The 17,744-nt window shown below is 43.4% G+C and overlaps 1 long non-coding RNA gene across 1 annotated transcript, besides 2 other annotated features; it reads left to right on the forward strand.

Annotated features, from left to right (window-relative positions):
• Positions 656–1,855: an enhancer, noted in NCBI's record as "BRD4-independent group 4 enhancer chr2:64711199-64712398 (GRCh37/hg19 assembly coordinates)". NCBI's record gives its function as "activates an origin of replication core promoter dependent on BRD2, P300/CBP, MED14 and CDK7 cofactors, and independent of BRD4, by STARR-seq in HCT116 cells {active_cell/tissue: HCT116}" and the evidence as "EXISTENCE:reporter gene assay evidence [ECO:0000049][PMID:35650434]".
• Positions 2,944–17,495, forward strand: LINC01805 (long intergenic non-protein coding RNA 1805). The gene is made up of 3 exons (NR_147011.1): positions 2,944–3,021; positions 5,326–5,433; positions 17,110–17,495. It is a non-coding gene; the product is annotated as a long intergenic non-protein coding RNA 1805 (long non-coding RNA).
• Positions 9,326–9,620: a silencer, noted in NCBI's record as "tiled region #8770; K562 Repressive non-DNase unmatched - State 22:ReprW". NCBI's record gives its function as "represses a minimal TATA promoter and a strong SV40 promoter by Sharpr-MPRA in K562 cells {active_cell/tissue: K562}" and the evidence as "EXISTENCE:reporter gene assay evidence [ECO:0000049][PMID:27701403]".
• Positions 17,496–17,744: the final 249 nt, after the last annotated feature.

Raw genomic sequence — 17,744 nt, forward strand, 5'->3', positions numbered from 1 at the left:
GAGAGGAAAACAAACCTGGAAGGAAAAGTCTGAGGACATTCAGGCAGCCAAAACAATGATGGTATTTGTGTGTTCTAGTAAGTTCTGTGGTGGATGTCTGCTCACTTTTTCTGTCTGTCCAATGTCCTTTCTCCCTGTATTCGTTTTCTGCTACTGTATAGCAAATTACCCTAAAGTTTAGCAACTTAAAGCAACATAGATTTTTTTCCCCCCAGTTTCTATGGGTAAGGAGTCACCCAGCTCAGGGTCTCTCCCAAGACTGCAATCAGTGTTTGCCAGAGCTGTCTTCATCTCCATGTTCGGATAGGGAAGTATCCATTTCCAAGCTCGCTCAGTGGTTATTGGCAAGATTCAGTTCCTTGTGGACTATTGGATTGAGGGTCTCAGTTTCTTGCTGGCTTTGGCCAGAGGCAACCCTCAGTTCCTTGCCATATGGGCCTTTCCATAAGGCAGCTCACAATGTGGGAGGTGGCTTCCTCAGAGTGAGCAAAGGGGAGAGAGAGAGAGATCACAAACTTTTGTAAAATAATCTCAGAAGTGATATCCCACCACTTTCCTCATATTCTACTCATTAAAAGTGACTTACTAGGACCATCCCACACTCACAGGGAGATTACATGCAGGCTTGATAACAGAAGGTGGTGGTGATCACTGGAGACCACCTTAGAAGGCTATCTCATTGCCTTTCTGATAAGAGCAACCCTCCTTCTTCTGTAAAACCACATATGATTCTTGTGGGGCTGCTCTCTGTAACACCTGCCACTCCCACCCCATTCCCACACTGAAATGGCCTGAGATCCAGGTCTGGTGGATTATCATAGCACATCTTGTAGCCACAGTGATTGGTCCAAGATGGAGCCATGTGACCCAAGCTTGGCCAATCAGAGCCTTTCCCTGGGATATATAGCAACAGGGAGCGAGACGTTTTCTCTTTCATCTGAAATAACTAACATCAGATGTAAGCTTGGGGTTTCCCATGGCCCTATCTTTCAGGAACCATATAAAGAAATTGGGCCGGGCGAGGTGGCTCACACCTGTAATCCCAGCACTTTGGGAGGCTGGAGTAAGTGGATCACTTGAGATTAGGAATTCAAGACCAGGCTGGCCAACATGGTGAAACCTCATCTCTATTAAAAATACAAAAATTAGCCAGGCGTAGTGGCGCAGACCAGCAGTTCCAGCTACTCAGGAGGCTGAGGTGGGAGAATCACTGGAATCCGGGAGGCGGAGGTTGCAGTGAGCCAAGATCGCACCACTGCACTCCAGCCTGGGTGACAGCGAAAGACCCTGTGTCATAAAAAAAAAGAAAAAGAAAACAAAAGAAAGAAATTAATTTCAAGTACACCAGGAACAATTGAGGCCATCATATTCTGAAGCAGAGATAAAAGATTTGAGATTAAAGAGAAAGTGCAAATAAACTAGTGACATTTTCCTGAATCCTGGATGCTGCTTTCACCCCCCAAAGCTAATGTATCTCCCTTTTTCACTTGAGATAATTTAAATTGGGTTCTGTCACTTGCAAGAAAAAGCATCTTGATCAACTTAGCTACAGTTTTTGCATCTACAAAATCAAGGAGCTGAACTAAATGATTTCCATGTTTTTTTCATATTTCAAGTTCTAAGATTCTGACTTAAAATGTCTGATTTTTTACTAAGAAATAGATTTTTTTAAAAGCGAGGAAAGAGCAGGAGAAGCAGCCTGAAAGAAAAGGAATGCAGAAGAGGGAGACAGGGTCACTCCTGGGACCAGTGAGAGCCAAAGACCAACTCTGCCTGCTGCATGATTTAGACAAGACTCCCGATTTTAACTCAGGACTGTAAGAGTGCCCTGCAAAAGGACTCACGCCTCTAGTGATCCCAGGTAAGGCCCACACATAGGTTTCTCTGACATGCTGTTGGAGTCATGATGACACAGTAGTTGAGGGCATGGGCTTTAGAGGCTGCTGCCCCTGGATTCAATGATTATCATTTTCATCACAGCATTTACTGAGCGTTTATGACATACCTGGAAATATCTCAAGACCCAGCCTCTTCACTTACTAGCTATGTAACCTTAGGGAAGTGACTTAACTGCCACAAGCCTCTGCTTCCTCATCTGTAAAATGGGTGTCATAATAGTTTACTTCTCACAGGGATGTTGTGAGGATTCAATGAGTCAAGAACAGTATCTGGCACGGGCTCAAGCATCAAGAACAGTATCTGGCACGGGCTCTTCCTAAAATGTTCCTCCTTGCCTTTTACACACAGCTCAAATACCAAACATCCACAAAACTTCCCCAATTGTACTCCACCTCCTCTGTCTCCCCCGAGCACTTTGTTCCTGCCTGCTGGCTTTCTTTCTGCACACATTATTTAAGAGGTAGAATGATCAGGATTTCTAGCTCTGTATTTCATTCACCTGCTCACAAATCTATCACCTGTGTGGCTCACCATACCTTATCTTTGGGTTCCTGAAGCGTTGGTCAATGACAAACACACAGGATCTCAACAAATTTAAATGGATTGAGTAAATAATATTCAGCCATCTCTCAAGATCAAAGCAGACAGTATGATCAGTAGTACGTGCCACACCTTTTGGTTTCACCACCTCAGTGAGCATTAAGGATTTTTGTCAGGCGAAACTGATGTGTGATTGTAAAGCTGCTCCTCACATGAAACCACCAATTGCTCAAGCTAAAAGTAACAATTCCTCACAGCTGGCAGGCCAGCCCATCTGCAACTGGCCGTGGAGCCTGTGTTAACGGGTGCGGTGCTGCTAGTTTGGAAGCTGACCAAAGAGACAGTAAACACAAAGGTTGCCTGGGTGCATAAATACAAAACGAGCTCCTCCTTGCCTCATCCCCGAAACAGGCCAGTCACAGCATCAGGGACTCCACAAGTGTCTACTTGTCAGCTCCTGTCAAGTGCAACGGCAAGGACCTACCACCCTCAAGCTGCAGATATTAAGGATGAAATTGCAGGAGCTGCGGTTTTATAAGAAGCCAAACATTGTGTGCATTCAGAAAAAGATATTTTTCTAAGGTGAGTACATGGCAAGGTCATGTATACGGAGAGGAAACATTTCCCCACTTCTGGCTAAAAGAAAATGTGTTAAACGTGTTCACCCGGCTAACTACAGAAAGAACCTCTGGGGACAATCTGGTATGCCGCATGAGACTGACCATGTGGCACCTCATTTCTCATTAGTGCAAATCTTAGGGAAGCAGTACAAAGTGCTTTTGAACCTATAAGGGAAATGAGACGGATAACTGGCTGGGGTGGCATGAAGTTTTCTAAGTAAATAGTGGAATAAAATGTATGAATATAATTTTTATTCCCTTGTGTTGATTAGAATTCAACTCGAGGGCATGGTAAGGCTTACAGGATCACAATGGTGATCTCTCAAATGACTGGAATTTTTTTAAAAAAAACTCTCTTATTCTCAATTCCTCTTTTCTATCTGTGTGTTTTTATTAATTCACTCATTTATTTATTTGTACCCTATGCCATTCCTGAACGCAATGCAGCCTTATGCTCTGCAGGCACTGGGGAACTGACAATGGCTTTTGAGCAGGGCAACTACATGATCAGACATGAATTTTAGATGATCTGGAATCAGCGTTGAGGATGGAACTAGAGAAGACAGAGGTTGGTAGTCCTCCAGATGAGTCCTGACTAGATACCATGAAGGAGAGAAGACACATTATTTAAGAGGCAGAATGATCAGGATTTCTTGACTGGGTGACTGTGGACAGTAGCAAAACAGTGAAAAAATAACTAGAAAGTGACTTTTTCCATGACTTTGTGAATGATGACACTAACTCAAGCAGATTGACAATATAGGAAGTGGACCAGTTTTGGAGTATGGGTAGTAGAAAGCTCGAGGAAGTGCTTTAGAGAAAGGCGCCATATAATGATGCTAAGATTTCAATTCTCTGTCAAGTTGCCAGTGCAGGTGACAGAACATGTGGCTAATGAAGGTCTACTCTTGCTCCCTGTGGGCTGATTGCCAGCTGCACCCTTTGAAGTTGTCCTACATCCTCATCATGCCTGATGGTGACCGCTAGGCTCACTAGAGGAACTTTGAGAGAGTGTGGAAATGGAACAGTACAAGCCCAGAGACATCCTTAGGGACCCAGCCAGAAGGCCTCTCCTACCGATGGGATGGTGGGATTGGAGCAGTGCCAGTTTTGCTTCTTCTTAATTTTTGAAGGGTGGGCAGAAATCTATTGCCAGTGGAACACTGAGTATGCAAGGGTAGATGACCTCACAACTAGGGTGACTGTCCTCAGGCCCTGCCTTGAGTACTGTCTCCCAGTCTGTCTTCACAGCTCGAGGAATGGATCAGGGAGAAGAATCCTCCTTTCCAATCATCCTAGTCTCTCTCTTTCCCCCCAGACACCTTCTATCTATCTCGGAGCCTCTGCTGCTCTTTCTGTATCCCTGGAATGACTTCCTTTTCTACACTGGGTGAGTCTCTGAGCTGGGATACTTCCTGGAAGGGAGAGCCGTTATCTGCTGGAGCAGTCAGCTGTGGACTCGCTAGGCTGTGTCTATGACTGCTGCACAAATAGAAGGATTTCGTTCAGCTTGGGAATTTTTTGTGTATTCTTTACCTATTATCTCATCTTGTTTCTAAAAAGATTCGCTGCATCTTGCAGTATAACAGGAGTTGTTTGCTTTTATTTTATTTTATTTTATTTTATTTTATTTTTTATTAGAGGGACTGGGGATGCCCTCCTTGGGGCTGAGCCAAGGTGCAAAGGTAGAGCTCCCCCTGCTGGCTGACTTTTGCTCCTGCAGCCCTCGGGCGTCTGACGCTTTCGCGTTTATGAAGTCTTGTAGTTTCACAGGGGAGAAAATCAGTGTCGCTCAGCTTCAGGAGGTTCGCTTGCTTTCAGAAACAACGGTCAGTGTGACTGTTGGACTGAACATGCTTAAAACTCATTCCATCACTTTCTGTCATTATCTTTCACTAGCTCTTGCACAAATATTGAGGCTCTTAGTTTGTGGGACATTGACTGGGCCCTGACCCAGAGGCAAGCATTTTGCTAGCACCAGGAACACTAAGGCCAAAGAGACACCCTCCCTGACGTTGGAGACCAGCATAAGCGAAGCTGCCCTCTTTCAGATAGGAAAGCCCTTGTCATCCCAGGATGGGGACACTCAAAATGAAAGGAGCTCCCTAGACAGGGCCCCAGACCCAGGTCCATTCAGGAATAGGGGGTATTTTATCACGAGTTAACTTTGAGTTATCCTGGCCCCTCCCCTAGGCTGACCCGGCAGGTGGGAGGGAGAGTGAGGCATCCTGAAGGCTGCAAGCCTGGCTGGCTGTGATCCACGCAGGAGATCTACACCTCAGAGCACTTCCTCCCACTGGGCAGTGGACCACTCGAGCAGCGGTTCTGAACACCTGATCCCCAGACTCATCGCAGCAGCAGCATCTAGGAACAGGTAACACATTCTCAGGTTTGAAAGGCGCTGGGTGTGAGGCCCAGCAGCCTGTGCTTTAGCAAGCCCTCTAGGTAACTCTGACAGTTAAGGACGTCCAGAGACAGCGGTGTGGCCACCTCTGGGAGCCCTACGTGACAGCTCAGCTTCATGAGACATGGCTTCTTCTGCCTCACAGCAGCCACAAAGCCATAGCATTTCAGAGGTACCTATTAGATACCCCTCCCTTTTACAAATGAGAACACCAAGGTGCAAGAATACATGGTTCGCCTAGGGCAAATCTGTCAGGGGATTTCCCCACCAGGCATCCCAATTTACACCAATAGAAAAGGGAGGCCAGTAAAAGAGACCCTTCCCGGGTTCCTCAGACCTGCCTGCTCTGGGTGTCAGGGCTCTGCACAGCATCTAGTGCAGATCTGTCTCTCCCGGGCCTATGACTGGGTCACCCTGAAGCTCTTGGCCCATGGTCTTCCTCTCCTTGGGGGTGATGTCGCATTCCACTTTCTCCTTTTTGATCGCACTGGTCCTTGCTGCCACTCACTCAGAGATGGAACATAAAGGGCCCAGCTGTGAAAGGATCACAATGAGGTTTGGTTTTTAAAATCAATCCCCAGCATCTAAAAATACTTGTCAATCACAGAGAGATAGGAAGTCACTAGAAAGACAGGAAATGTTTGAGGTTGGAAATGCATCCCCTCTAGCCTGGCCATATGGTACAGATGCCCTTTCAGATAAGTGCCAAGGTCTTGTCAGCTGGCTAGAATTAAGGCAATGCTCTGCCTCCCCTCCCCACAATATTTACAAGCATTGATTTTCTAGAAGGGAAGGGGTGGGGAGGGAAAAAGGAGAAAAGAATAGCATCTTTATTAATATTATTATTTTTGTGCACATCATCAGAGGGGTTGGGTCCCAAAGGGGAGACTGCACTTTGAAAACACAGCTTTCTCTCAAACAGCAGAAAAATGATGGGCTCACAGTGTGAGCACTGTCCATGCAGCCCTGCATGATGGGTGAGGTGCTGACTCAGGCAGAGAAGAAATTTCTGCACCTCTCCACTTATTATTATTATGGTCTTTGCAAAAGGCTCGATGCTCCCTTGTTTGAAAAGATCACTGCACTCTTTCATCCCTGATGCAGTGAACAGCGGTTGGGGAGCACAAAGGAAAAACTATTTTCTCACCAAATGTGAAGGAGTCATTTTCCCAGGAGGCTTTAATCAAATGCTATGCCGGATGTATTGAGGAAGCAGTGCAGGGAACAGTCCGTACAGGAGGACGGCCTTTCCATACTTGCCTTCTGGAGAGGAGGGTCTGGGCAAGCCTGTTCCATCCAGAATGTTTCTGCAGGTATTGGTGGCATGGCTAGATTTCAGAACTGTTTTAAAGAAGAGAAAAAGGGGATCTTTCAGCTGGTTTGGGAAAGGGAGCCTGGAGTGCTCATCACACACACACTCTCACACACACACTCACACACACACTCACTGACACACACACTCTCACACATACTCACACACATGCTCACACACTCTCTCTCTCTCTCTCTCTCTCTCACACACACACAGAGAGACACTCCGAGCTACTTCTGCTTTGTTTTCCAGATATCCCACCTCCTCATTCTAAGTAGCCCTTCTATTTCTTGGTCTCAGGAGGGGTTTCTTAAAAGATAAACTCTTTTCGTGGTATAAATAAGAGTTTAATCTAATTGAGGATATAATATTAGATATTCTGGAAGTGGGGAGTATTTGGGGAAAGAATGGGGGTTGAGCTGAAAGAGGGGGAAGATTCATGGGTTCACTGAGGATTGGGACCTATGCTCTGTGTCCTCCCAGTGCCCCAGGGATACGGCAGGGCCTCTGGGAGGAGTGGCTATAGGATGTGCCCTGGGCAGCCAGGTCTAAGTGTGAGGATAGCCAGTTCACAGAAAGAATGCAGTCCTAAAAAGAAATCAGATGGGCTGAGTTTGAACCCAAACTCTGCCACTTGCTGGCTGTGTGACATGGGGTAGTTACTTCCCTTTATTGCCTGTTTCCTCATCTGTAAAACTAGGACTATTATTCTACAAATGTTTAGGGCTGGGCGCAGTGGCTTATGCCTGTAATCCCAGCACTTTGGGAGGCTGAGGCAGGCGGATCACGAAGTCAGGAGTTCGAGACCAGCCTGGCCAACATAGTGAAACCCCGTCTCTACTAAAGATACAAAAAATTAGCCAGGCGCAGTGGTGCGCGCCTCTAATGCCAGCTACTCGGGAGCCTGAGGCAGGAGAATCACTTGAACCCAGGAGACGGAGGTTGCAGTGAGCCGAGACTGCGCCATTGCACTCCAGCCTGGGTAATAGGGTGAGACTCTGTCTCAAAAAAAAAAAAAAATTATTGAACTATATACTGGGTACTATTCTAGGAGTTGAAAGAAAGAATTAAAAAACTGGAGGTCCTACCCTTACAGAACTTACATTCTAGTGGTGGGGGGAGGGGGGCAGATGAAAGACTCTATTAGTAGGTAAATCACACAGCATGGTATGCTGGACGATGATAAGGGTTATGGAAACAAAGTAGAGCTGGGAAAAGCAGAATTAGAAAGGGAGGGGCACAGATACTGGTGGTCAGGATATGCTCATTGAGAAGGTAATATCTAGGCAAAGCCTTGAGGAAGATGAGGGAGAACCATAAGTTATCTGGGAAAAGAATGTTCTAGATCAAAGAGTAGTTGCCTCATATAAAACTATTTATGTAAAGCACTACCAAGTCCCTGGCACGTTAGTAACATTCCATAAACGTTAATCGTTGTCATTATTTTCATGGCCAAGTAGGGCCCAGCAGCTACCATGTGGGCTAGAAAAATGAGCACGTCCACAGTAATCAGCATGCCCTGAGCTGGAGGGACTCCTCCAAATGATTGGTTTTAGATGAAGTCCCCAGGACCTTTGTTTGACTCAGGGGTAAGGGGAGGAATCCCTAACAGTGACTGAAATTACATTTCCCTCCAGGCCTACCAACAGGAGACTGAAGTCAGATTCTATTCTGATTTAAAGAAAATAAGGTAATGTTGCTTTCTGACTTGAGCTGATAAAGTAAGATTCTTACTCATGCCCGAGAAAAATGGGAAAAGTCTGAGAAAGGAAGACATGAGAGGGTCCTAGACTGAAAGACCTAAAAATGTCTTGATGCTGCAGATTGATATGACTTTAGCAAGGCAGGGACCAAGGGCGGGGGTGCGGGGAGACAAATGAAAGGCAAAAAGGAGTTGAGGTCAGAGAGAAGAAAAATATATTGGAGGCTATATCTGAAGTTGCTACAAGTAAAATACAAGCAGCTCTGGCAATAAGAGCAGGGCCCGAACATATAGCAAGAGCAGTCAACCCCCAAAGGAGGTAGGAGCAGTAGACATCATAAGTCAGAGGGGTTGGTGATACCAAGGCCAGAGAGTACCACGTGGCTCCAGGGAACCAAGTTTATCTAAAGTCAAAAATGTTTAGCCTCCATTGAAGGGGTGGGGATGGGGTTGGGGGGCTTAAATGTGTTAGAATCCCAAAATGTTAGAATCCCGGAAAAGACTTTCGTGCTTATTTAATCTTACACCCTCCTTTTTCTATGTGAGGAAACTATGACTCAGAAACAGAAAACAGCCAGTCGGGAGTCACATTCTACTGATCAGAACTCCATCCACAGTGACAGAAACTCAATTCAAACCAACTTAATGAGCAAAGGGGAATGCATTTTGGCTCATGTTCTAAAGACCAGGACTGGTTCACAGGGCAGGACTGAGACAAAAATTTGGGTATGAACAAATCTAGGATGTACAGTAGAGACAAAATCAATAGTAGACTGCTGTCACAGTATTCTGTGAGCACACAGGCAGGCATGAGGCCCCCTAGAATTTACAAGAGTTTTCTTAAAGCCCACTGTGATCCATTTCCCAGAGCAAAATCAATCAAACATCAACTTCATGGGAGGCAGGAAACTGCTTGCCACTCTAAATGGCACTAATTTCCAAGGGCTGCTCAGTGAGGGACTGAAACCCGAGTTGTGAAGTAATGGTCCACACATCGAATCAACATTCCAGATGCGCTTTTTCTGACCCCCAGGGTGGGATGTTTTAAAAATTCATTTACTTAACAAATACTTGTTGAGCACTTACTGTGTGCCAGGTCCCTCTGTAGGCACTTGGCAAAAACAGTGAACAAAACAGGGAAAAATCCTCACCCTTATATACTTTGAGTATAATGGGAGGATATGGGCAGTCAGCCAATAATTTTTAAAATTCTATTATTCTACAGGATGATAAGTAGTATAGAGAAAAATTGAAAAGCAGGGAAGGAGAGAGAGTACAAGGTGGAAAGAAGGAGGTGTTGCAATTTTTAAAAGAGTAATTAGGAAAGGCCTCCCTGAGAAGGTGACATTTGGGAAAACACCTGAGCAGAAGAAGAAGTAAGGCTTGTGGGCATAGAGGGGAAGAGTATTCCAGGCAGGAGGCACAGCAAGAGGCAGAAACAATGCCTATGATGTTTGGGAAATAGCAAGGATGTCTGTTTTTCTTTTCTTTTTGTTTTGTTTTGTTAATCTATATTAGCTACCAACATTTAAAAATTGGGAATTTCACATCAAAATCTGTATTTCCAGATTTTCTTGAAAAAAAAAAAATCTCCAGTTAAGATCTTGCAATGCTGGCTCCAAATCATTTCGTAAAATCATGAACTAGCTCTGAGTAGCAGCTCTTCTCCCCTAATGGGACATGCATCTCCCATGTAACATAGTCACCCTTCCAGCCTGGGTATTTTCTCTTACACTCATGCCCAGCTACTTCATTCATTTCATTTCAACTGCTGGTCAGACCCCTGCAGGCATTTAAGCCGCTGTAGCCTACATAGGGCAGGCTAGGTTATGGTCATAAGTAAACCCCAGCAGTTTAGTGGCTTAATTTAACAGATTTGTTTCTTGTTCACACAAAATCCAACAGGGATGGAGTGATTCTTCCGGGAATCTGTCCTTCATGCAGTCAGCGACTCCAGGTCTGGGTTATTTCTAAACTGTGGCTCTGACATTTCAACTTGTGGACTTCATGGTCACCTTAAAGAGAAAGAGAGAACATGGAGGGGCCACACTGACCCTTACATGTTTTATGTGGGAAGTGATGCAAGTCATTTCTGCTCACATTTTATTGGCTACAGCTAGTCACGTGGCCTTGCCTAACTGCAAGAGAGCTAGGAAGTGTAGGCTTCCCATGTATCCAGGGAAGGACAAAGAATAGGATGTAGGTACGATGTATTAATCTCTTCCCTACCCTTGTTTAAAACTGTTTACAAACTCTATATCTATTCTCAGCCAGAGCCACCTGGTTATATGCATATAATGTGATATCACTGAGAAATTTTCGGAGAGCTGAGCTTCCCAGACAGGTGGCTGATTACCTAAGCAATCTATAGTAATTATATACATGGCACAGACGTTAAGTGTGTGAGCTCTAGAATCAGACAGCCACTATCTAAATTGCGACTCTACCGTTGCTAACAGTAGGACTTCAACCAGTATTTTTAACTTCTCTAAACTTGTTTCCTCATCTTTAATTTGAAGATAATAAGAGTACCCACTACATAATCTTAATGTGAAGATTAAAAGAGTTTATACATATAAAATGCTTTGAAGACCACTTAGTGAATCCTTGGTAAGTATCCATTGTCTTCAGTAAATATTAGTGTTCTGATCATCTGAGGCCAGGAGTTCAAGACCAGCCTGGCCAACATGGTGAGACCCTGTCTCTACTAAAAATGCAAAACTTAGCCGGGCCTGGTGGTGTGTGCCTGTAATCCCAGCTACTCAGGAAGCTGAGGCAGGAGAATCACTTGAACCCAGGAGGCGGATGTTGCAGTAAGCTGAGATCATGCCACTGCACTCCATCCTGGGTGACAGAGCGAGACTCTGTCTCAAAAAAAAAAAAAAAAAAAATCTGAGAGTAGCTAAGAATTTGGAGGAATTTATGTAAAAGCAGAGTTTTTAACTTAAGGGAACCAAATAAAACTATAACCTCCTACAGTGTTTATAGAACTCAGAAATAATATTTGTTTAACTTTATTATGAGGTAACACATACTTTCCTGTATTTCTAGATATAGTTTGGAAAACTATCCTTAATAGTCCATTTTATATACCTTATATTTAAAAGTTTGCTTAGTCATTTTTGAAAGACTATTGCTGCTGCAAATAGTTGTGTGCTTTACATTCTAAGCTTCAGTCAATTTCTTTATTTAAGAGCCTCATAATCTGTCCTGAGCATTCACTTGGAGAATGTTTTTTTGTGTGTGATCTAGGGTGGCAAAAGACCACAAAAATGTGTGGTCTGGATTTTTTCAACTATGTCATTGACTTTATGATCCAAGACCTGTTATAGGACGAATCTATATGTAAAAATAAAATCTTATTTATGGAAGGAATTATTCTAAGGGAAAAACCTAGGGTCAAGCTGTATCTTTTATGTCCTCTCTATTGCATGTCTATTTCTGTTACACGATTTGTTATTTCTTCAAATTTCCTATGGTAGCCAGATAAATCATCAAACAACCTGTTTGGGATATAAAACTTTGATAGAAAATATTTGATGAGTATCTTGATTATGACCTAGAATATGTATAAATTAGTAAAATAAACAGATATACTACAGAACTCTCTGTTGACTCAAACAGGTTGACCTCAATCCACGTTTTCTCTCGATATCACTCAATTGGCTAAAGGAGGAAACTCAAACCTCAGGGTTTGTTTTTCCCAGGACAGATAGTAGTGATAATGAAGTATATTTTAATAAGAAAAACAAACCAGTGAACCTTGAGAAATTTTAAAAAGCATCATCGAGGCATATTTTTCATAATTCTATACTTATCTATTTATTGCCCATGGAAAATATATGTGTAGAAGTATTTGTCTGTTATTTGTTACAATCTTCTTAATTTGTTTCAAAGATAATGCTGCCATACTGCATTCCCTCTGGAAGGAAATATTAGTTAGTGTTATATGAGAAAACTCTTTCTCATATACTCTTTTCAAATTCCCTGAAAGTTAATACTTTATCACACTTGCTTTATTATTCTCTCTCTCTACAAATACACAATTTTTTCTGAAATATTTGCAAATACATTACAGATATGTGGTCCCTTTTTCTCTAAATATTTCGGTGTATATTTTTTTAAAAACGGGAACATTCTTTTACATAACCGTAATACAACTGCCAAATCCAGAAATTGATACTGAAACAATAGTGTAATCTACAAACTTTATTCAGATTTTGCCAATTGCCCACTAGTGTCCTTTTTGTGGTCCTGGATCCAGTTCAGAATCATATGTCACATTTAATTGTCATGTTTCTTTAATCTCCCTTAATTTGAAACAATTCTTCTTTCTTGTCTTTCATGATCTTAACATGTTTATAAGAGTACAAGCTAATTGTTTTGTAGAATGATGCTCAGTTTGGATTTGTCTGATGTTTTCTTGTGATTCGATTCAAAGTATGCGTTTTTGTTCAGGAATATTCAGAAGCCATGCTGTGGTCTTCTCGGTGCTTCATGTCAAGAGGCACATGATACCTATTTGTCCCGTTAATGCTAATGTTCCCTTTGATCACTTGGTTGAGGTGGTATCTGCTAGATTTCCCCACTGAAAATTACTGTTTTTACTTTTTAAATAAGTATCTTATTGGGAGATACTTTGAGATGGCATAAATATCCTGTTTCTCATTGTTCTTTTAGCTTTTATTGGTCATTCTTCCCTTAAGCAGTTATTACTGCGGTGGTAGCCAAATGGAATTTTCTTATGCCATCATTCCTTCAACATGGCCTCATCAGCTATTATTACATATTAATGCATCTTGCTCCTCTCAAACGAATAGGCCCTCTGGTATGGGACTAGGAAACTTGTCCTTAAGTTAAAGGTCATGGAGGTAGGCTGAACAACAAAAGAACGTAGCAACAGCAGGGGACCTATGGAATGGGCACTACTGTTTCTGTAGGAACTGATCATGTAATTTCTAATATGTGTGAATGTGGCCACCCTTCCAAATTAGTGAGTTAGTGTGGGGCAGTTTGATGCAGGTTTGCACAGCTTTCAAAATTATCCAAAATAAAGTGTGCCTCCTAGAACCTAGTGTACTTTTGGTTATACTGTAGAAGAGGCAGCTTCATCAAGCTTTTAGAAAGCATGGGAATGGATGATAAATCAAAGGTAGATACACTGAGAGAAGAGGAATCCGCTGGAGGGGAACCTTGGGATGTTTCTGCTTTTGCAGCTCATGCAACAACAGATGAGCCAGTGAGAGACAAAGGCCAGAGAGGGAGGAACAGTATGTTGTTATGAAAACCACGGTAAGAATCTGAAGAAAGAGAGGTCATCCAATGTTATCTTCCCCTGGGTATAGTCTTGGATCTGGAATAACTTGAGTTCTTTAGAGAAGCTTGGGGTGAGCATTGTCAATATGCCTAAGTCCATAAAGTAAAGAGAAACCTCTCTGTGGGCTCTGAGTATCTGTCTAAGTCCTTTCCCCAAAACAAAAACCACATGGCCATTATCTGCTCAGGCAGTGCTGTGCCCAAACCCACCAGAATACACAGGACCCACTGCCCTGGTTCTGACAGTAGGGCTTAGGAGGCAACTCTATCCCATCCCCTTCCACAAAAAAAGAACAAAGCCCAAGACCCTGGAGTGTTTGACTCAGCTTAACCTTTTCAATGGCTGCTTGCAAAAACTTCCCTTCCCTTCTGGAATCCATTTAATTCACTTATCTGCCCTTATTCCCTAGTCTCGCTCACTGTCCCTCTTTTCCAAGCATGGCCCAGTCAGAATTGTTGAGTGTTACAGAGAGCAGCAGGAGGAGGTCTTTGGATCTGGGGTTTGAACAGTTCATTAGTTCACTGAATTCAGTGACACCTTTTGAGAGGCCAGGTTGGTTTTTTGTTTATTTGTTTGTTTGTTTTCTTGAGATGGAGTCTCACTCTGTTGCCCAGGCTAGAGTGCAATGGCACGATCTTGACTCACTGCACCCTCTGCCTCCCAGGTTCAAGCGATTCTCCTGCCTCAGCCTCCCAACTACAGGCACACACCACCACGCTCAGCTAATTTTTGTATTTTTAGTAGAGAGCGGATTTCACCATGTTGGCCAGGATGGTCTCGATCTCTTGACCTCATGATCTGCCCACGTCAGCCTTCCAAAATGCTGTGATTACAGGCGTGAGCCACTGTGCCCGGCCTTTTCTTTTTTTTCAGATGAGGTTTGCTACGTTGCCTGGGCTGGAGTGCAGTGGCTATTCACAGGTGTTATCATAGCTCATGACAACCTCAAACTCCTGGGCTCAAGCAGTCCTACTACCTTAGCCACCCAAGCAGCTGGGACTATGGGTGTGTGCCACCGTGCTTGGCTCAAGAGGCCAGTTTTAATTTTTAAAAAGTGTGATGGTTCCAGATTGCCAGGATTTGACAAGTATAAAGCATATAAAGAAAGCGGAGAAGCTCATGATAGCCTCCACTTGCCAGAAATTTGTTTGTAAAGGGAAGGAAAAAGACAGGTTAGCAATCTGATAGGGAAGCAGTGTCATGCATGGTTCAGGCTTTTGCAGTCGGGAAGTTAGGGTATATTTTCAAGGAGCTAGAGAATGGCAACCTGAACATGCCAGAAGGAGGAAAATACTGGTAGATGGAGGTGGAGGCAAAGAAGTACTGGTAAAATCAAGAAACCCAGATAAGGTTAGCTTTGAGAACAAAGATAGCATGTGACTTCTCTGGAAATAGGGAGGAAGAATGAAGGAAAAAGCAAGTGATAAATGATGATCCAAGCAAAATTAAGACAGTGGAGAGGAGAGCTGAGCCCTTGATCTTTTCAGTAAATTAGGTGCAGAAGTCATCTATGAAAGATGGAGTGGGTCAGAACTTCTTTGGGAAGGATGTGTGAACCCAAAAGTATCTGAGACAGGTCTCAATTAGTTTAGAAAGTTTATTTTGCCAAGGCTGAGGACGCATCTGTGACACAGCCTCAGGATGCTTTGATGACATGTGCCCAAGGTGGTCTGGATACAGCTTGCTTTTATACAATTTAGGGAGACACAATACATCGATCAATACATGTAAGATTTACATTGGTTCAATCTGAAGGGGCAGGACAACTCAAAGTGGGGGCTTCCAGGTCATAGGTAGATTTAAGCATATTCTGGTTGGCAATTGGTTGAAAGAGTTATTATCAGTAGAAAGGAATGTCTGGGTTAAGGGAAGGGGTTGTGGAGACCAAGGTTTTGTCCTGCAGATGAAACCTCCAGGTAGCAGGCTTCAGAGAGAATAGACTGTAAATGTTCCTCATCAGACTTAAGGTCTGTGTTGATGTTAAATGCTGGTTGGCTTTTCCTGAATTCCAAAAGGGAGGAGGGCATCATGAGGCATGTCTGACCCCCACTTTCCCATCATGGCCTGTATCAGTCTTTCAGGTTAACTTTGAAGTGCTCTAGCTGAAAGGAGGGAGTGCATTCAGATGGTTGGGGGCCTTAGAATTTTATTTTTAGTTTACAGATAAAAAGGGTTTGGAACAGCCACCTTAAAGAATTCAATAGAAAGTCAAGAGAAATAAAATGCTACTCTGACAGCAATAAGAAAAACTTATGAATCTGAAAAGCAAACGTGCTTAGATAATGCATCAGGTACAGACTAATTTGCTCCAGAAGTCTTTACAGGTATCTGCTGATTGTAGTGCTTGTTGGAACATCTATCTGAATGTCTAAGTCTGATAGAAATCTTTGGCAGACTAACTAATGGCATGGATAACCATTAGCATGCACTTACTTTTCAACACATAGAGAAGTGAAATTTTCCGCTCACAGCAAGCTGTTAAAATCCTAATTATCCCCTGGGAACCTGGCCCTCTCAATTTCAGAAACTAGCTCCTTTATAAAGGAAGGAACTCACACATACACAAGTCCCCATCCATACACACCATGAATAAAGTATATTGATCTTCATTTCCAGGAAGATACTCTAAGTCATTTCCAGGAAGATAACTCGAAGTCATTCCTTGACACGTGGACTTTCTGTGTAATCCCATCACTGATTACTCAAAACAAAGTCAGCTTTCTTCCTCTATTAGCCTGTTTTGCATTGCTGTAAAGGAATACCTGAGACTGGGTAGTTATAAAGAAAGGAGGTTTATTTGGCTGTACAAGCATGGCACCAGCATCTGCTCGGCTTCTGGAGAGACCTCAGGAATCTTTCAGTGGGAAGGCAAAGCGAGAGCGGCATGTTACATGGTGAGAGAGGGAGCAAGGAGGGAACGAGATGCCTGGTTTTTATAAACAATCAGCTCTCGTGTGAACTAATAGAGCAAGAACTCACTCATTACCCATTACTGGGGAAGTAGGGGAGGTGGGCGAGGGGGAGTGGGTGGAGCAAGGTGGGGGGTCACCAAGCCCTTCATAAGGGATCTGCCTCTATGATCCAAACACCTCCCTGCAGGCCCTACCTCCAACACTGGGGATCACATTTCAACAGAGATTTAGAGGGAATACCTATCCAAACTATATCACTACCTATTCCAGTGTTGGCAGGAGCTGGTTTTTGTTGGAAGACATATTTGTGTCAACCATGTAAAAAGCTTATTCATATTCCCACTGCCTTTTGATACCACACCATGGCCAATTACGGATGAAATGCCAGTTTCTTTCCTCCTAGGTTTTTGTGGAGAGACTGAGAAAATCACTTCCTGGAGAAATGAAGGCTGAAAGCCCTGGCAAAAAAGGAGATGGTTCTCTAGAGACAGGCAGGAAAAAAGTTTCAGGAGGAGACATGTCAGGTGCTGATGCGAGAAGCAAAGGTACCAATGTTGATGGCACCTTCTTCCAGATCGTAAAGGGCTTCTCCTTGGGTTCAAGCTTTCTGCAAATGGCAGCAGCTGGGCAGGCTGCTAAGCATAGAGGAGAGTTGCCCTCACCTGATCCTGAGAACCAAGACTAAGTAACGCATCCTGGAAAGGCCCAGGCCAAACAGAGGCCCTGTGGCGAGTTGCTCCAAGGGAAACCCAGGAACGGAGAAGGAAGGAGGAAGTTTGGGAAGCAGACCCATGCTTTGACTGAAAGGTGAGCAACAATAGAAGGAAGGGGAATAAAAGCCTTCCGCTTTCGTCATCCCTGCAAAGAAAATGGAATTCATAAATTTGAGACTCAAATGTACTCTGCAAAATTTTAAAATTTGCAGCATTTTGTTATTTGGGGGCCGGTGTTAGACTGCAGATAAACATGTAGTTTAATACATACATATTATATCAGATTACATATTGCTACAATTATTGGAGTTGCTTTGCTGTTTGC

Source organism: Homo sapiens, chromosome 2, assembly GCF_000001405.40.
Source record: "Homo sapiens chromosome 2, GRCh38.p14 Primary Assembly".
Lineage (NCBI taxonomy): Eukaryota > Metazoa > Chordata > Mammalia > Primates > Hominidae > Homo > Homo sapiens.